At 37.9% G+C, this 21,185-nt stretch overlaps 1 protein-coding gene, 1 long non-coding RNA gene and 1 pseudogene across 12 annotated transcripts in view; 1 reads left to right on the top strand and 2 right to left on the bottom strand.

The window, feature by feature from the left end:
• Nucleotides 1-21,185, top strand: part of HDAC2-AS2 (HDAC2 and HS3ST5 antisense RNA 2) — a 371,029-nt gene that overhangs the window by 114,086 nt on the left and 235,758 nt on the right. Inside the window, exon 5 of the long non-coding RNA NR_125845.1 lies at nt 5,151-5,233. This is a non-coding gene — a long non-coding RNA (HDAC2 and HS3ST5 antisense RNA 2). The remainder of the gene's footprint in view (nt 1-5,150; nt 5,234-21,185) is intronic.
• HS3ST5 (heparan sulfate-glucosamine 3-sulfotransferase 5) overlaps nt 1-21,185 on the bottom strand; it is a 287,428-nt gene that overhangs the window by 28,191 nt on the left and 238,052 nt on the right. The window contains exons 4-5 of one of the 11 annotated variants that reach the window (NM_001387044.1): nt 14,551-14,589; nt 12,267-12,317 (exon numbers count right to left, since the gene is read on the bottom strand). The exons of the other annotated variants lie outside the window; for them this stretch is intronic. The gene's annotated coding sequence lies outside the window, so the exon portion shown is untranslated. The remainder of the gene's footprint in view (nt 1-12,266; nt 12,318-14,550; nt 14,590-21,185) is intronic. 11 annotated transcript variants of the gene reach the window in all.
• RPSAP43 (ribosomal protein SA pseudogene 43) lies at nt 312-1,007 on the bottom strand (annotated as a pseudogene).

The raw sequence follows: 21,185 nt of genomic DNA on the forward strand, positions 1-21,185 counted from the left end.
TTATCTCTATTATCTCCGCCTGAAACTCTGATTAGATGTATGCTAAACCTTCTTACACTAGCCTCTGTAATAACCTATGTTTCATGTTTTCTATATTTTCATCTCTCTGGACTGCATTCTAGTTTGTTTCTTAGGATTGATCTGCCAGTTCACTATCTTCATTACATCTAATATGTTGAATGGTATTATCCATTTCATTTTAATTTTTAATTATTATATATTACTTTGCAGAATCTTATATTGTACAAACACTTGGTCTTTTTTTATGGTCTCAGGTTCCCTGATCATATTTTCTTTTCTTTTTTTTTTTTTTTTAGAAACTGATGTTTATTTCCCATCAACCTTATTGCCATGTTGCTTAAGAACACATGCAAGAACAGCTTAAGACCATTAAGTGGTTGCTCCTATCCATTCAGTGGCCTGAGCAATGGGAGCTGCAGACCAGTCTTCCGTGGCAGGCTGAGCACTCCAATATTCAGTAGGGAACTGCTGAATAGTCACAGAGGGCACCTGCACACCTTCAGACCAGTCTGCAATCTCAGGCTGAGTAGCAGTGAACTCAGGAGCTGAATCAGTCCATTCACCCTGAAATTCCTCCTCGGTCACAGCATTTTCAGCAGCAGCCTGCTCTTCTTTTTCAGTCTCTTCAGGATCTCTGTAGAAGTAGAGATCAGGCATGACCTCCCGCGGGTATTCACGGGAAATGGTGCCACGCATGCGCAGAACTTCCCGAGCCGGCGTCCACCGCATCACACCCGCTGAGTGAGCTCCCTCGTTGTTGCACGGGATGGCAAAGTCCACATAGTGCAGAGGAGAATTGTTACAGAGCAATGCTAGGTAGGTTAACATAAGATGCCTTAATGAGAGGCTGATGGTCAGCCCTGGGGTCAGTAACCACAAGAAGCCGTGGCTCCTGGAAGGCTGCCTGGATTTGGTTAGTGAAGGTTCCAGGCGTGAAGAGGCCAGCAATTGGAGTGGCTCCAGTGGCAGCAGCAAACTTAAGCATATTTTCAAACTCTTAGAAAATTTCTTTTTTCTTTTCTTTTCTTTTTTTTTTTTTTTTTGAGACGGAGTCTCCCTCTGCTGCCAGGCTGGAGTTCAGTGGTGTGATCTCGGCTCACTGCAACCTCTGCCTCCCGGGTTCAAGCGATTCCCCTGCCTCAACCTCCTAAGTAGCTGGGACTACAGGTGCGCACCACCACCCCTGGCTAATTTTTTGTATTTTAGTAGAGACAGGGTTTCACCATGTTGGCCAGGATGGCCTCAATCTCCTGACCTCGTGATTTGCCTGCCTCCGCCTCCCAAAGTGAGAAAATTTCTTTAAACATAACTGTTTTATATTCCATGTCAAAAATTCTATTATATGAGGATTTTGTGGTCTGTCATTTTACTCACAGTGCCTTACTTCTTTTACTGTTTTGTGATACTTCACTCTTGACTGTTCATTTTATAAGAAACTTTATTTGTGGTATCTTGAATCCTGGGCTGAAGTTGAGTTCTTTCGAAGAAGTTATACATTTTTTTCTACTAGTCACCTAAGGACATGGTCGTCTGGGATCATGCTTGAGGTTTTATGGACCACACATGCAGGATGAATCAGAACCCAAACTCAAGCAAAGACCAATTTGGGATTATGAATCCTCAGAGAATTCCATTCTCTCACACTATGCCAAAATCAATTTGCTTGTGAAATATCAGAGTTCATTGCAAATTCATTCTTACATTGGCAGTATAGCTCTCTAGAATACTGTTTTTATGAATGCCTCCTGTTAGATTCCCTGCACTGACCAAGACCTAGGCTGTATCTCACAGCTGGTCCCACAAAACCATCAGAATGGAAGCCAAAGAATTCTAGGGTTTAGCAAAAATTCTCACAGCAATAGCCACTTGATAACTTGCTTACCAATTGGGTGTTCTGATTTTATTTTATGTTAGGGATCTGTTCACTCCTTACTTTCCAGCAGCCTCATAGATATAGTTTTATATTTATAGATTTAGACATATATTTTAAATATTTCATCATATATTTTAGTTATTTCAACAGTGAGGGTGATATAAATGATATAGGGTACCTATTCTACCATACTATCAGAAATAAAAATTGCTTTTATTTTATTCATTTTCTCTTAAATTCATATAAATTCATTGCCCCCCCCCCCATTTAATCAGCCACTTAGAGGAAAAACTTCTATATCTGTTCTTTTATGGACATTCAAAGATTTTATTTTGTTTTTGTTTCATTTTTAGCAACAAATGCTTCTTTCAGTTTACAGGAAAAAAAACGGTTCTATTTGAAAGTTACTCTGACATGCTATTAAAGGCAGTGTGGAATTGTACATGGCTCCCATAACCTTTGTCTTGGTGTTACTACTATTATTGCAGTACATTTACAAGGCAAAAGATTTTGCAGATTGTAATTAATGTTACTAATCAGCTGAACTTAAGATAGGGAGATCACTCAGGTGGGTCTAATTTAATCAGATAAGCCCTTTAACAGCAGAGTATTTTCTCTAGCAAGTAGCAGAAGGAGTGATTAGATTCCAAGCAAGAGAAGGATTAACATAGTGTTGCTAGTTTGAAGATGCAAGGATTTGGAAAGCAGCCTCTAGGAGCTGTGACCCCTAGTCAATAGCCAGCAAGAAAACCGGGACCTCATTCCTACAACCACAAGGAATTGGATTCTGCCAACCACAAGAATGAACTTGGAAGCAGATTCTTCCCGAGAGTCATCTCCAGACGAGAGCACAATCCACCTGACAGCTTGATTTCAGCCTTGTGAGATGCTCAGCAGAGAATCCAGTTGAGCCTACCTGGATTTCTGACCTAAAGAACTATCTGCTAATAAATGGATGTTAAGTTTCCATGGTGGTGGGCATTTGTTATGCAGCAATAGAAAACTAATGCAGGCATATTTCCCTATCACCTGTAGCTTTAAGAAAAAACAAAACTAGTGATTTTTTCTTGAAGCTTTTTGTTCGGGGAACACAGAATGCCAAACAACAAAAGCTCACCTTCAAGAGATACATTGTGCCTATGACTATACTATTAAACTTTGAACAGAGAAGATAATGCAATTGAGTTTGCTATTGGCAAGCAAAGGTCAATTTAGTGAAATGTCAAATACTTTTCGGTGAAAAGGCAGATCATTATATCTGACACCAAGTCAGTGTTCTGGGTTGTAATCTGTAAACTATTGTCTTCACATAACTCTCACAGAAGCTGACTCCTCTCTGTCTTTTCTCAGGTTAAAGCCATGTTCTTCAGTGCTCACCTGTGGGCTCTGGAAGTGCCCTCTTTCCTTGATGAGGCTCTAGGTCTCTGCGGCAAAGTGGAGCCACTTTGCATTTAGCTACATGTTGACCTCCCTCTTCCTCCAATTCACCCTTAATTGCCTTTCTGGCTTCATTTCTGATAAATGTCCACACAGACCCTAAATTTGGAAGATATTTATTGTTGCCCAGACATGCCAGGTACTTTCCAAATTTCCAGCATTGTTCTTCCTTCCCTGCATGATGCCCGTTCTTCCATTTCCACCTGTAGAAATTGTAGTTATCATTCAATATTCAGCTCAGGTGTCACTTGCCCCATTTCTTGATTTTTCCAGGCAGAATTGGATAGTTCCTATTTTGTGTTTCCAAAGGCTTCAAAATAGCTTTTGCCCTCTGTTGTGTAATTGCCATGACATTAAGTTACTGACATTAAGAACAATGGCCTGTACGTCTATGAATCCCCAAAGCCTGGTGCAGTTCATTATTAGATGTTTGATCCTTGTTTGTGGAATTGAGTGAACCTAATGTGGCTCAGGCCCAGTGAGATAAACAAAATAATCAGGTGCAAAAAAGAGTTCTATGCAAAAGAATAGTTCTATTTTTTTAAATGTATGAGTCAGCATATTGCTCACTACTTTCTCTTTAATTGGATTGTGTAGCCTCAATGTTTCTCCCAAGTTTTCATAACCTGTGAGTCGACCACCATGCTTCAAAACCAGATGATTTCAACAGGTTCATCTCTCTGTCCTGTGCTATAACATCCTTACAATCTGATACACATCTACATACAAAAGCCTCATTCAGCTGCCTAAAAGTTGCTTTTACTAAACAACTCTCCCTCTAAAACCCCGTAATAACTTTCCATAGCCTAGAACTGCATGGTCTAATATGGTAGTCACTAGCCCCTAGCCATGAGCACAGCTTGAGATGTACCAAAAGTGTTAAATGTCCACTGGATTTCAAAGACATAGTATGAAAAAAAGAATGTCAAATATATTGATTTTATGTTGTGATGCCTATATTGGGTAAAGAAAATTTATCACTGAAATTAATTTCCCGTTTCTTTTTACTTTTTCTAATGAGGCCTCTAAAATTGTAAATTACCTACGTGGTTTGCATTTGTGGCTTGTATTATACTCTACTGGGATGTGCTAGCCTACAGCATAAAATCCCAGCACCTGAATTTTGTGCTGTAATTCACATCTGGCTGTAATCTCCTCTACTTGTCTCAACTCTCACATCCCACATATGAAATGTCCACCATGGCCAGTATTTTTTCAGAGATTCTGTGCTTTCTTATTCTTTTCTTCTGCCTATACTATTTCCTGGATGATCTTCTCTTTTTTTTTTTTTTTAATTTTTCTTATCAATATCTTATCCTCTCCTCCAAGCTCACTTTAGCTTCACTGACTGGAAGAAACCTCCTCTGATCCCACTAATGGAAAGGGATTTCTTCTAAAGGAAGGATTCTGATGTGTATTTATTGTATATTTATCTTGTCTCATCTATTACGTTATAAGTACTTAGAAGATAGGGACTATTTGATACACCTATCTGCATATGCCTTCACAAATAGCACAGTGACTTCCCTCAATAACTCTCAAAAATGTGCAATACATAAATTGAAGGGAAGAATTCTATTTAGAAAATAGGTTATAGGCTATATACAGATATGTGTGTATATATATACATATTCATGTATGTAAATATATATACAGACTCAACATTTCATAATTTAATGAATAGGGAAAGACTCAGCAAGATTTTGTAGGTCCTTAGAGAAGGATAAAGAACAAAAATCTTCAGAGAGAATCAACACTAAGAACATTAGGGCTGGAAGATACTGCAGAGAGCACTGCGCTCATTTCCCTCTTCTTACAGATGAAGGAGCTGAGGCTGGAGAAGTTAAGAGACCCCTGCTAGATAGGAAGGCACGTGAGAAGTATACTGCTCTGTCTCCTGTGGTAAGTACAGGACCTGATACTTAAGAGGTCAGTAAACATTGGCTGAATGAATGAATGAATAAATGATCAGTGCAAAGTAAACACATCTGGTGAACTCAAACTAGGCTACATAGCCCCTGATTCTCAGAATAGTAGTATTTTCATTCTACCATGTAGAGAGGGGAAGGACAGTTGGGAAGCAATGGGGAGCTATATTTAAAACAGAATTTCAGCCAACCATTAAATTAGCCATTTAACAGTTTTTCTGGCAATGGCATCTAGGCATATGTGGATTCACAATAGTTAATTACACCTTTCCTTCCTTTTTGAATGACCCTCTCCAAGTTGGTCAGTGCTGATCTTGCTGGCATTTTTCTGTGCAGAAAAGAGTATATATGTGTTTTCAATAATTTTCCTAATTATCAGTGATGGATTTTCATTGATCCCCTATCCTTTCGTGTCCTGGTCCCTTTCATACATTTATTTGTTGCTTGATATTTTACAGAGCACCTGTCTTATGTATTCTATATCATCAAATTTTCAAAGCAAACTTATTAGTTTTTATTAGCGCTTCCACTTTGAAATGTGGAGCCAAAGACTCAAAGAAGTTAACTTAAACTGATCAAACGTCACATAGCTAAGAAATGTTGGAGCTGTATGTGTCTTCTATATTATTTTCAAATATTATGATTGCTTCTCTGATTGCTTCTCATTATTAATTGTATTGGATAAGAGCACAGATTCATTATGCTGAGGCAAGGGGTATAATTTGTGGCCACTGAACGGAGAAGCCGTTGGGCAATCTCATGATCTCAGTCTCCCCAGATAATTTCTTATTCTTTATTCTCTTCAAACACAATTTTGATGGTTTAGTACACATGGAAAGAAAACGTTTCTTTTAATAGCTTTATCTAATATAACAATAATCGGAATAATTGTTAAACTGGCTTCCCAAAACTTTAGTTGGGGGTACTCTTGCATTTCTGAAGCTCTGGCGTTGGGGAGGTAGTCACTGACATTTCTTTGAGAACCCTGTACATGTGGCCATGAACCCTCTGCCAAAGATAAGGAAACTTTATTTAAAGCTTGAAGATTTTGAAATGTGGGGCTTAGGCTTTAATGGAAGGCGAAAATAATGCAGTCCGTGCTTTTAAACAGAATAAACAAGTAGGATAACATTAATCAATAAGTCTTAGTTGAGGTTGCCTCACAGGAAATCTATGCACCTTACACATTCTCCGTCTGTGTAAGGCAATTTGCTTGTTGTTATTTAGATGTGACTGACATAATTTGGCAATCTGGTTTATTAGTATACTTTGTAACAAATTGTGTCTCGAATGCCAGTGATATTTTTTTCTGGCTGTAACTTAACAAGGTGACTTATTCTGAAGTAGTAAATGAATGTCACAAAGATTCTCTCCCACTTTCCCTACCCCCTCCTCCCTCCTCCCTCTTCTCTGTCCTTCTTTCTTCTTTTCTGCACTTATCTTTAATCCACTGATGAAAACAAATTTTAGAACACCAAATGTTATGGAAAACTTGTTGGTCATGAGTGTTACTATGGGTATGCTATGTTCCAGCTTTTCAGTTTTAGGAAGCTTGGGTAAATGTCTGCTATTCCCTTGTGCTGCAGCCCTCCCTTCTCCCATTTCCTTTTTGGGTACTATGGATAGTTTGCAAAAAAATGCCAACGAAATAAAGTGAAGCAATTCCTTTTCAACTTGCATCACGAAATCCTTAGTGTTAAAAATGAGTGTATCTTAATGGAAGAGCCTATTAAATGAACAAGAAGTAAATAATAATGAAGTTATCTTGCTAATTAACCTGGACGGTGACGTGAATTTTGCTGCAGCTGAAACTCAGCAGTACAATTGCCCTCTTAGCAGAGTTCTGGTGCATCAGACTCTCACTGTTCTCTGGTGTTCACATGTCTAGCTATTTCAAGAATGTTTGTATCAAACTTTTATTACAAATGCTAATACTGGGTAATTTAGGGAAAAAAGTGACAAATACTTTCTGTGGGGAGAAAAAAACTATTTCTTTCATTTCAGGGGGCCTAATTATAACACTCCTTTCTATTTTAGTCCCTATTTATTTTCCAATTCTTTGGGGATTGGGTAGTATTTAACAATGAAACAAGCAGTGCCCCAGTGCCTAATTAAGATTTTCTTGTAGGATTAATAAGTCATGTCTCATTAGCCCCACTGAACTGGAGGTGTTAATCTTCACCTTGACATTCTAATTTTGAAATAAGTTTGTGGATCAAGTATTGAAGGATGTTGAGCAAACAGTTTGATTAAAGCCACTGAGTCTTCAGATGCCAGTCTCATATTATTGATTCAAATGCATCCCTACATACAAATGCTTAGATGTGTCATTTTAAATGTACTAAGCAGTGGCTGGGTGCAGTGGCTCATGCCTGTAATCCCAGCACTTTGGGAAGCCGAGGCGGGCAGATCACCAGGTCAGGAGAGCGAGACCATCCTGGCTAACATGGTGAAACCCCATCTCTACTAAAAAAAAAAAATACAGAAAATTAGCTGGGCATCGTGGTGGGCACCTGTAGTCCCAGCTACTCCGGAGGCTGAGGCAGGAGAATGGCATGAACCCGGGAGGCAGAGCTTGCTGTGAGCCGAGATTGCGCCACTGCACCCAGCCTGGGTGACAGAGCGAGACTCCATCTCAAAAAAAAAAATGTACTAAGCAGTGGTCTGGAATGATTGCTGGAAGAAGCCACCATGTTTTGGCCTTTCCCAACAAAGAAAGCGAAAGTATCTTTGCATGTTTCCTGAATTACCTGTGTTTCTTCCTATGATGATTTTTTTATTTTTCTCACACTGGGGAACAAGCAAAGAGGTCAGAGCATAGCAGCCACAGAGAACTCTTATGTTTTCTGGTAGAGACTTGCAGGAGGCTATGCCATGGACATTTGCTGGCAATGCTGTCTGAGATAAGTGGCCTCTTTTACAGTGACATGGCAGAAGGCAAAACCACTCTCAAACTCTCACTCAGTTAAAACATCCTAGACTTTTATCTCTTCGTTTTTCCAAATGACAGTGATTCAACAGGCCAAAAAGAGGTCAGTGGAGAAGAAATTATATGCCACTGTCATTTCTGTGATTCTCAGTTGCATCTTTGTAAAAGTAAAGAGCTGGGCTAGATAATCTCTTAGGGTCCTTCCATTTTTAAGATGACAGTGCCCTTACTTTAGTGACATAACCCATGCCTACCTCTAGGAAGCTGAGCTTGTCTTCTTTGTTGTCTCATCCCCAGTACATCACACATGGTGTTGAATACATAGCTGCTGAATGGGTGAATGAAGCGGGGCCTTGAAATGCATTGTAATCTCAAGTGTAGGCTGAATATGATGAGCTCAGCACTGGGAAATCTCTCCCCAAGGAGCTTTTAATATCATTGAAGAAATTAGCTTGAATAACCTGAAACTTAGCACACCTAAAGAACACTCTGTGGTAAGTGGCACAATGTATGAGGCAGGTTTTATGGATCACAAGAGGTTAGAGAAAGTCATGCAGACCTTATAAAAGGATAGCTACAAGTTGGCAGCCATTTTGGTTTTGGCAGACAGAAAAATAGAAATAAAAATAAAATGATAAAAATCAACATATATGTTGTATACTTGCCAGATGTCAGGCTTATTTATTTATTTATTTATTTATTTTGTTTTTTTTTTTTTGAGAAGGAGTTTCACTCTTTTTGCCCAGGCTGGAGTGCAATGGTGCGATCTCGGCTTACTGCAACCTCTGCCTCCTGGGGTTCAAGCGATTCAACTGCCTCAGCCTCCCAAGTAGTAGGATTACAGGCACATACCACTATACCCTGCTAATTTTGTATTTTCAGTAGAGATGGGGTTTCACCATGTTGGCCAGGCTGGTCTCGAACTCCTGACCTCAGGTGATCCACCCACCTTGGCCTCTCAAAGTGCTGGGATTATAGGTGTGAGTCACTGCACCTGGCCGATGTCAGGCATTTCATATAGTATATGTAATCACATTTAATTCTTATAACTCCATGAGACTGGTAGAATGATCCACATGTTACAGATTAGTGAAGTCAGGATTGTGGAAGTTCAATAACAAGTCCAAGGCCACACAGTTAACAAATGGTGGAAGAGGAATTTGAACCCATGTCTGACTGGCTTCAAAGACCGTAATCCTCCACATGCACCAGTCTGCCTGAACAGGAAGTACACTGGGTTGTTAAAGAACCTGGCTTTCAGGATGAATGTGGCCTCTCTAATCAAGCTGCTCCTGATGAATATGCACCTGCCTGTTCTCTTTGCTCATTCATCCCTATAAGGCCTGAGAATGACCTTGTATCTTTTTTGTTTGTTTGTTTGTGTGTGTGTGTGTGTGTGTGTGTGTGTGTGTGTGTGTGTGTGTCTGGATGTTTTCTGTCTGCCCCTCTTTGCTTGTCTCCACCCTTGATATTTACATTTGTCCTGGCTTACCTACCAGGCTTGGATTGGTTTTGACTTCTAGAATCTGATGATATTACTGTTCATTTCGCCTACCTTCTTCCAACCTTCTGGCTCTGCCATGGGCTTTGCCTTCTGAGTTCTGTTATGGGTTCATCTCATCTTTCTCCTTTTCTTTTCTATACATCTGGTTTCCTCTTACTCTTTACCTGGGCTCCCCATTGTGCAGTATCTATTCATCATGACTTAGGGCAGACATGATGACAGATGCATGGACAACCCAAGCTGGAACTAAAATCTGAGCAGACAAAAAAAACGAAAACAAGCCTGCTTTGTATAGAGGCCAAGAGGAAATTATTTGGAAGAGAAAATATGATTTGTGTTAAGAATGGGAATATAATTGAATAGGCAGGTACATTAGATAATAGACCTTCTAAAAAAGCAGACATGGGCATGTAGATGGTAGTATAGCAAATAGAGCACCAGCATGCAGGACTGAAAAAAGAAACTGCATGTTCAAAGCTGTTTATATATAATAAAAATTCAATCTTGAATAGCTCTGACAGAAGAGGGAAGGGAAAAGTAGAGTAAGGATACCAAATAGGATGGTGATGCTGATTTATCCAGACATAAGACAGTAACAGCTTGCACCAGTGTTGAGAAGTTGTGTAAATAGAAAAAAGGGGATGAGGTAGAGCCAGTATTAATATTTTAAAGAAAAAGTTGTTAGGACTTAGAAGACGACTGGATATAATATATGCCATTTTAGGACTGCCCTAGTTTTTAAAAAATCTTGACTTATTTGGGGGAGTTCAAGAAGAGGTGCACAAGGAAATAATTTAAAGTTAGTTTTGATACTTCCCTAAATATTTACAACAAGTCAAACTTCACAGTGGATAGGAAAGCAACCAGCAACAATCCAATGTTATAGTGTTATTTAGTTTTAGGTATTCTTGGAGTTTGCTCTTTGATAGTTTCCAAACCATAAACTGAGATTTCTCAGAGGTATGTGAGACACTGAAGAACAAATTCCTGTTAGAAATGTAGGAACCCTTCTGAATGGGGGGTAAAGATCAGAAAGAATGGAGTTATTCCTTTTTTTCCTCCTATATGGTAGCTATTCTTGGGACATTTATTCTAATAATCCTAAGCCTATATAATAACGATCCAAGTTATGGTATAATATAATTTCCTTACAGCAATAGTTGGAGGTAAAAACACTCAGTAATTTCACATTTTGTAAACATTATAAAAGTACTCCTATGATAGACAGGGTGGCTGTCATGATCCCTGGTCCCTGATATTCATGCTTTTGTATAATCTCCTCCCCGTGAGTATGGGCAGAACCTGTGACTTGTGTCTAGCCCACATAGCAAAGGTGATGCAATGTCACCGTTGTGATTTTTATACATGACATAAGATGGTCCTTCTAGTAGGCTTACTGTGGACTCTCTATCTCTGTTGCTGGCTTTGAAGGAGGAAGCTGTCATGAACCTTCAGCTGCTAGAAACTGAATGCTGTCAACAACCACATGCAGGGAAGCACATCTCCTTCCCTTAGTTTAGTCTCCAGATGAGAACCAAGCCGTAGGTGACACCTTGATGGCAGTCTTGTGAGACTCTGAAGCAGGGAACTCAGCTAAGCCATGCCCAAACTCATGCCCCATAGGATTGATGAGGTAATAAATGCATGTTGTTTTAAGCTGCTAACTTCGTGAGAATTTGTAACACAGCATAGAAAGCAAATACACTTCACTTTTGGCCCTCCTCTTTCATTGGCTGTATAAACAGTGATTAGTGCTTCCATCTTCCCAGTTGCAATGACAGAGACCCTGGAGCCATTCTGGCCTTCTTCCTGTCCCTTATGCCCAACATCTAGCATCTAACCACTCTGCATGTTCCAAAATCCTACCTTTCAACCAGTTATTCTTTTCTTTGCTTCATACCCGTCAAACTAGTGAAGTTCAAACTACACAACCCATGCCTTTCTTCAGGGCTGATGGCTACAAGATGCTCACATGAATATGGGAGAGGGAGGGAGGCAGCAGAATTACCAAGGATAAGGGGCAAATAACCAAAGAAGACAACACTGATAGGCGATTTAACTGAAGCAGGGTGGTGCTAAGGCCTTTGCTGAGACTCCAGTTAATTCTACTGTTGTCCAGGGCATCAGTAGCCCAAAAATGACCTCACTTTACTGTAGAGGCACTTTTGACAACTTTCTCTACCAGCTCTCATCATTTCCTGCTTGGACCAAATGTTCACTCTGACTTGGAATCTTATTCCCCCTCTAATTTATCCTCACGTCTATTCCCAGACTGATTTCCTAAAGCAGAAACCTGGTTTATCTTACAATATTTTCTACTAGTATTTAGGATAAATTAAAACCCTTACTGTAGTCCCCAAAGCCTTCCATAGTGTAGTTGGTCCCTGTTACATCTCTGGATACGTCTCCTGTCCTATGCTCCTACCTCTCACTCTGTATTTCAATGATACTAATCATTTACAGTATAGTTCCTGGGGCATATTCATGCTAGTTTCATCTCCATATTCCTGTTGAAGTTATTTTCACTGTGCAGAACATTCTTTTCCAGCATTTGTAAGACTACCTTCACCTTACCTTTTAAGATTCCATGGATGTATTTTAAACCTTCAGGAAGCGTTCACTCACCTATTAAGAAGGATAATTTTAGGCAAGGGCAGAGGCTTTGTGGGTATCCAGTGGAAAAAGCATCAAAAATACTGCAAATTGTTCACTAGTCCAAGGGAACATCACCCTTGAGCCCGTCATCAAATCTTGACCATAAACTAGTGTAATGTTAAAAAGTTCCAAACATGTTAGATGGCTGCCTCAGTGATAATGCATCTTAGGTATCATTTTGTATATCTTTTCATCCGGCTACATGAAAGTATAATGAAGACATGCCTCTTTACTGCAATAACATTAAAATAACATCTATTTGGGTAAGTGTACGCTTTTACCAGTTAACGTAGGACTTTTTTTCCCCATAAAAATGTTTTTCACAGTGAATCTCCAAATGATTTCTGAGATGACTGGAAAGGTTACCAGGTGAGAAAAAATGAAGAGAGATGTTTAGCAACTGAGCATTTGAATAACCAGAGATGATGTTATTATTACATTTTTGATGCCATAAACGTGCACAATTTGTGTGGTACATAAAGGGAAGTCAACTTGGGTTTAAAAATTGGGGAAAAAAGTCAACCAAATATGTTTAGGTATCAAAACTGGTCCTAGCAGTTAGTAAGGAAAGTAACTAACTTTATTCTTCGTTTGGAAATTTAATAGGCATATAAGTGCCACTAGGGGGCTCTCTAATATTCCATAGGTGGGAGGCCTGACTATCACAGCAGGGGTAATAGAATAATGAATAAAAATGCTCTGTAATTTAAAGTATATTCCTTAGTCATATTAACATTTGCATGTTTGTACAAAGCCTGAAAAATGGAACTTTATTATTTTAAGGTTTTCTAGTGTTAAAAATGTATTTATGGTAAATAATTTAGAAATGCAAATGTAAATATGCACCTGATAAAGAAAGGAATAATGTGCTTCATTGCACTCAATTTCTTTGGTGTAATAAAAAGGGGAAAAAAAGAGCTTCCTCTAGTTTCCTGATTACTTTTCTTCCTGAGTAATACAAAACAAAATGTTTAAAATTTTTGCCACCTGAATTATTCCATCAATTAATAGATAATTATTTATAGATATGAAATATGTATCTCTATACATATATATAATTGGATATTAGGTTGTTTAACCTTATTCAACAGAATATACAGAATAAAGCTTTTAAATTGTAAATACTAATATATTACCAGTTAAAGGAATTCATTAAAAGGCTTGGTCCTATGTGGATATACTTATGAAAAAAGGTAACTTATTAGGGTATATTTCATTTACTGTTCTAAGATATGCAAAATGCAAAACTTGTTTAACAACTTTTCCTAGGAACATTAAAACATATTAAAACAAAAGCATTATTACCAGGGAAGGAAATATTGGGTATTTAGCATCCTTTATATTGTATATTGTAATTTATGTTTGTTTCCATGCTTTCAAATATGTTCCAATTATAAGAATTCCGTGTTGCATATTTCTTATATTTTTCTATGATTGTCAAATGTTGTGGCATAAATATATAAAATTCTGTATAGAACTATATTTGGAGTCTATTTTGTGCTCTGGAAAATATGAGCACTTTGAATTGAAGTAATCAAAATTATTTTGGGGATAGAAGATTTAGGGAATGAGAAAAGAAGGTAATTTTCCTGAGCTCTACTTCCTTATTCTTTCCTTTTTTAAAAAAAATCAAAGTATAGTATATATTCTCATTATTTTCTGGTTTCCCATCTCAGCCTATTAATTCCAAACCAAAATTTAAAAAACAGATTTTTAACTAACTCTACCCCTAAAGGACAAAAATGGAGTAGTGAAAAATTTTGTGGGCTGGCAAATAATTCATTCTTATTTTTAGGTTTATATGTGTAGATATGTATTTTCTTTTTCTTCTCTACAATCAAAAGACAAATGCATGACTCATGTACAGACATTTACTTCTCTACTTCTTTCACTAGTATAGTACTTGGAAAAGTGAGGGTGGCCCCAGAAAGGAAAGGCTGGGAATTAAATGGTAATATAAGCTTTCTAATTCAGACGTTTTACTAAGCGAGTGAAGAACATACTTTAGAACATTCAAGGTAGTTGGTAAGATAAAGTTATTATGATCTTTTGCTTAACCTGGAAGTTTTTGGCTGTGACAATTCTCTTCCTAAAATCATTTGCTTTCTTTTATTTAAAACAAAAAAAGCAAGTAAAGAAAAACCTTCAACCTGGTAACTGAAGTTAAAATCAGAAGATCAGTTAATTTGTTAAATGTATATACCTTTACAATATATTTGCAAACACTGAGTGGTCACCAAACCTGGAAACAAAACATATAACAAATAATGTATTAATATTATATTAAATATAGATGATAAATTAATATTGTCTATATTTTCAGACTTTATGGCCACTCTCAAATTATTTTTCCTCAAGTACATATATATGTATGATATGTATATATTTATCACTATCAAATATATATTTTAATATATAATATTAAATTATATATTTGAAAATGATTATATATTTGAAATTATATATTTATATGCTTGAGCGTGAAAGACAACTAGGAAATACTTGATGAATGGGCATATTAAGCAGCTATATAAACCGTAAGAAGAAAGAATAAACATTTATTGTTATTCTGGATAATATCTTCTGAGGTAATTTGCATTCATCTTAGAATAAATAACTGTGTAAAGCCATTGGTGTGTATTTTTTTGATTTCAGTGTAAAAAGTGATTAAATAATTTAATGTCATAGGAAGGCTAGCTCATCTTGCATTAAAAATATGTACATACACACATATATGTGTACATGTATGTACATATATTTGTGTATTTTTTCCTTGAGCAGTTATGAATTTATGCACTGGTGCCAACACAATGAACTATAATGCATGTTTTTATTGAGTTTAATGTCCTGTTGGAGATAATAAATATATACCCGAAGTTAAATAACAATACAAGAAATGATGTGAGGTGGAGCAGTCAAGAGCTGGTCTAGAACTCCTGATAGATAGGCAAAGATCTCTGAGTCAGCGCTAGTCTTCCATGTTGCAGAAAGGGCTGCTCTTCCATGCTGCAGAAAATAGCCACCTTAGGAATACACTAGAGGGTCAGCCATAAGCCTTAGCTTGTTAGTCAAATTACAGGGCCAGCAAGCTACACCTGTTTTAAGAAGTACAAGTTAATTTTAAGGATTTTAAGGCAGCAGCCCTAATTGAAAAGTTCCATCTACTTAGATCATTTGTAAGACCTCATTTGTCTTCCCAGTTACTAGTAACAAACTGTCTTCTGAAAGTTTTTGTTACAGATTCCTAAATTTTAATGCAGAACTTTCAGTATAAAATTGTCTCATCATAGTAATTCCTATTCCCTAAGGTCTATTTCAGATCATTGTTTTTCCTTTAATCTGGAGCACAAGGCACACAGATCATAAAATTTAGAGTACTGCAAAAGTCATTGAGTAATCAACAAAAAGTTAATCAATTTGCAAAGTGAAGTTTTCATCATGTGTCTGTACCTAAGGCCAATAAATCAAACTAAGTGGATTCAGCTCTCTAAGCTAGCATGGAGGGAAAGACCATATCCCTTATTAGTTTATTAGGATTTTCTCTAATCCCAGTAGTTGATTCCAAATAATCCACATATATTGCTAGGTGATGACCCCTCTCCTCTTCCACACTAATTTTCCATTCTAATAGCCTAATATTAGCGTCCATGCTTTATCCCAGCTGAATCAGGAGTGCAGCCTTACCTAGGCAGCTGAAATCCCCACAGATATGACCCAAAGCTGCATGATTATTATGACTCTTGGCCTTTTCATATATAGTTAGTCAATATTTACAAGCACTGCAGTCTATGAATAAGGTACAGCTCAGGGAATAACTCCTAAGAAATGGAAAAAAATGTGGCTAGTTTTCCTACAGTCTGAAGGAAAAGAAAGACCCCAACTTCATGGTTCATATTCTAATATGTTTTACCTTTTATCCTATATTGTGGTTCTCTCTGGATAGAATTTTCTAAAAATAAATTTATTCTTCTACAATGATTTATTCTAGGAGACATAGGATGACAATTCCTAGCTGAAGCCTACATGTGTGTTACGAACCATACACAAACAGACCAATGTGTAGATAGGTGGCATGAGCTCACACCCTTCCCCACATACATGTCTTTCATCAAGACAATCTTTATAGTCTCTGGGTCACGTTCTCCACGCAGAGATTGCAGACGATAGAGAGGCATCCTACCACACCTCGGTTAAAGAGAAAAATTTGATGTCTGGACATGTGTAGTCTTGTGGAAAGGAACCTTATTTCACTCATAGACGAGCAGTAGTATGGCTAGCAGTATTTCCCCAGAGATGGTCTGATTTAAAAAAAAAATCGATATCAACTCTTGACACATTTTCATTTACATCAGCACATGGCTTTCAGTCGGGGCACAAATCAATAGGCAGCTTTTAACACTGCCCAACTATTTCTTCCTATTGGGCTTGAGGCAGGCCATTTGCCGTTAACATACCATGTTTCTTGGGGGAGGAAGTTTAACTGTTTTTCCTGTGACTAATCACAACAGCCTAAACTGTAGCATTAATCACACGACATTTTCTTCATCACCACTTACAGCCAATTGACTTTTTACTTAGTGAAAGCATTTGAAGAAGGTGACAGTTGTTCTAAGGGGGTCAAGAGTCAATGGAAAGAAGAAATATTTAGTTCCAAAACATACACAGTATATGGCTTCAAAAGCTGACACTATGCCAGGCATCATTAGAAGGCTTATCACTCTATAGGTACGATCTCACAGTCAAGATGGAGGAGAAGATTTGTGTAAAATTAAAGTGCTAGCTAAGAGTCATAGCTTTTGGTTTGAAAACAATTAATCTGGGCCTTTCTATAAATTAAAAGTCACATCAAGGGTCACTAGTAATTGGCAAAGTGTTTTCTCTAACTTTTGGAAGTGAATTATTTTTCTGTCTTTTTTTCTAAAACTAGCAGGAAAGTTCAGTTAGGTCTGATGTCCTGTGAGGCTGGCAATCTGTGCAGTATTGGCAGTCTCGATTAAATGTAATATCTGGTTCATTGCTGCAGCAACTCAGATTTCTAAATAATGAATCAAATTCTTACATTATTCAAAAGCCACAAAAGGGTTATTAAGCCGAATAAGCAGATACTCACAAAGGTTTACAACATATTTATTTAGGGCAACTCCAAAGCACAAAAGTAACATGTTTTAAAAATATACAAAAAGACAACTTCCTATATGATATTGCATTATATCTATATTGTCCCAAACAGCAGTATCTTTTTAGAGTAGGACTCTCCTGGGATGTTATTCTCCTCACATGCTCCTAAAAAAGCACCACGTGGTTAAAAAATTTTGAAGAATGATGTAATTGAGGACAGAGTGCCCCTTTTGTTGATTTACAGTGCCTGTGGGTATATCAAAAGCTCCAAAAATATTTTCAATAAAGAAAACTGTGTATGATGCTAGTGAGGCTGCAGAGAAAAGGGAGTGCTTATATACTGCTGATGGGAATGTAAATCAGTTCTGCCATTGTGGAAAGTAGTTTGGCAATTTCTCAAACAACTTAAAACAGAATTATCATTTGACCCAGCAATCCCATTATTGGGTACATATCCAAAGGAATAGAAATTATTCTGCCATAAAGACACATGCACACGTGTGTTCATCACAGCAGTATTCACAATAGTAAAGGCATGGAATCAACCTAAATTCCCATCAACGGTAGACTGGGTAAAGAAAATGTGGTACATGTACACCATGGAATGCTATGCAGCTATAAAAAATAATGAGATCATGTCCTTTGTGGCAACATGGATGGACATGGAGGTCATTATCCTAAGCAAACCAACTCAGGAACAGAAAACCAAATACCACATGTTCTCACTTATAAGTAGTAGCTAAACATTGAGTGCACTTGGACACAAAGATGAGAACAAGAGACACTGGGGCCTACTTGAGGGTGAAGGATGGGAGAAGGGTGAGGATCTAAAAACTACCTATCAGGTACTATACTTAGTTATCTGGGTGGTGAAATCTGTATACCAAACCTCTGTGACACACAATTTACCTATATTACAAACCTGTACATGTACTCATGAACCTAAAATAAAAGTTTAAAGAATGTGTATTAACTGCAGAGTTGCCTCTACTGCCTAACCATTCAATATGTTACTGCACTCCTGGCTTGGAAATGGTTGCACATAGTTCTTTCTACCTGAGGTCTTTGCCATTCCCAGAACGTAAGCTGGTTCCGGAATCTCTGTCATTCGGCACTGAAATGGGAGCTGATTTGTGGATCTGGAGGAGCTCACTGTTGTTTGTCTACTTTCCCCCATCTGGAGCAGGAGGACTGGTGTTCTAGACCTTTTGAACATTACCATGATGGGTCCCCAATGCCTTAGATGCCCAGGGAGAATTGTGCCATGATTGAGGAGGGTACAGACAGGGATAACTTAAAGGTAATAAACTTGGACCACAGTAGCTCTACCCAAGGAAGCAAGAGGTAGACATTCTGGCTTGAAGAGATTTACATGGTCTTTGTTTTCCTTTTTTGAACGCTCAGTTTATTGGATTGTTTGCCTATGCCAAAAATCACACACTATAATCTTAGTTCAAACTCCATCCTTAAAATACATCATAATGCTAACATGCTGAGCCACAGGTAGGGCTGTGTAAAAAGTTTAAAATCTGGCTTTTTAAGCACGCATTACAGAAAAATTCTGAACTCCAGAATGTGCCAATATCACCCCTTCCTTTGACAAAACAGAAGTTTCCAGACCAAGATAAAATTTTAAACCTCAAATAAAAATTTTTCTTCAGATTCTACACTTCCAGATGACTTTAGTGACTGTAAAGAATTTTTTTTTGAAAAAGAGAATTTTCAAAATAAATTTCTAACTCACCTTAAGTTAAAAATCAATACTGTACTTTTAAAGAGGAGAGTGATGCTATCTGAAAAAGGATCAAATAACAATTGTTCAACCCTTTTATGGCTTCTGTTTCTTACCCTGTTCAGTCTCAGCTACTTGCCTGCATTTTAAGGCCTTCTTCTTCCCTAGCAGTGTTTATTGAGGCATGATATACAGAACTTTTAAAAACTTTTAATAAGTATGAATTCATTTTAGTACGTATTAAATTATTGGGAGGCTGAGGCAGGAAGATCGTTTGAGCTCAGGAATTAGAGATTATTATCGCACCACTGCACTCCAGCCTGGGCAACAGAGCAAGACCTTGACTCTTAAAAGCTTAAAAAAAATGATAAACACATCAACCTCTGATTTTATGAATATTATGTTTTATGATAAGAGTAATGTGGGTGCAAAAGGGGAAAAATGAGTTGATTTAAGAAAAAATATTAACTAAATAATTGTATAGATGATTACAAGACATGATGGAAAAGCTCATGAACATCAGCTAGTTGACTTCAGAGAACATAGTCAGCAATACATTTCTTGTTGATTGACTATATTCCTTTCTTTCTCTTTCTTTTTTTAAATTAATTTTTTTTTTATAGAGACAGGGTCTGACTCTGTTGCCTGTCTGAAACTCCTGGCCTCAAGCCTAACTGTATTCTTTATTGTTCTAATTTTCTTTCTTTCTTTTTCTTCTTCTTTTTTTTTTTTTTTTTGAGACGGAGTGTCTGTCTCCCAGGCTGGAGTGCAGTGGCGGCTCACTGCAAGCTCCACCTCCCAGGTTCACGCCATCCTCCTGCTTCGGCCTCCCGAGTAGCTGGGACTACAAGCACCTGCCACCACACCTGGCTAATTTTTTTTTTTTTTTTTGTATTTTTAGTAGAGACAGGGTTTCACCTTGTTAGCCAGGATGGTCTCGATCTCCTGACCTCGTGATCCGCCCATCTCGGCCTCCCAAAGTGCTGGAATTACAGGCGTGAGCCACTGTGCCCGGCCTATTGTTCTAATTTTCAAAGCACTCTTAAGTATTTCATTCCTTTTGGTATTTAAAACAATTCTGTTATCCAGGGAGGGGGAGTGCTAGACTTTTAAAAAAAATGTTTAAACTGTAGAGATCTTTATAAGCTACAAAAATCATGACAGATAAGTGACAGGTCTTGGAATTAAACCCAGATCCTCTGACCCCTAGTCTGAGTGGTATATTTGTAAAAAATACTAATGACTAGAGAACTGTGTAAATTCAGATATCCAGCAAGTAGACATACCTTGCCTCTTATCTCTGGTGAATAATTATAAATTAAATTAGGTCTCAAGGGACACAAATACACACTCATCATTTCTTTTTCTGAGCATCAGTGTTTATATCAGTGGTGCTTGGTATCTCAAATCCAGGCCTCCCGGCAGCCCATAGCCATTTTACTCTGCATTTTCTTCAAATATGCTCAGCTTTGAGGTTTCCCACAATTGGTCCCAGTTCCCTGGACTGTCTTAGATCCTGTGGAATCCTATACTTACCTTCATTTCAGCAGCATTCCTGGTACCACGTGGACAGAGCTGATTTTATTCTGGCACTTTACTCGGTTGTGTTCAGCAACATGTCGGGCATGAAATATGCAGGTGCAAGCCTTGAGAAGCAAATGTAGCTTCCCTAGGCAGCCCTGACTTTCTTTTCACCCTACTTACTTAGAAAGTTATGAGGAATTGGGGGTTGAGAACAAATATACAGAAGAAGGAGAATACTTTTGGTTCAAGTTACCCATGGATTAAGGGTTATGTCACGAGACTCATTTTTTGTAGCGTTGTGTATCATTTTCCTCAGTTCAGGCTCAGTGAACACCCAAACCTCAATTTTTACCACCTTTGTCCATCCACTTAAAACTTTGACAGATTTTGAAGCAGGTACCTGTGCTCTGGGATACCAGTCATCTTTGCGGTTTACAAGAGCACTTTCAAACATCCACAGAAAA

Source organism: Homo sapiens, chromosome 6, assembly GCF_000001405.40.
Source record: "Homo sapiens chromosome 6, GRCh38.p14 Primary Assembly".
Classification (NCBI taxonomy): domain Eukaryota; kingdom Metazoa; phylum Chordata; class Mammalia; order Primates; family Hominidae; genus Homo; species Homo sapiens.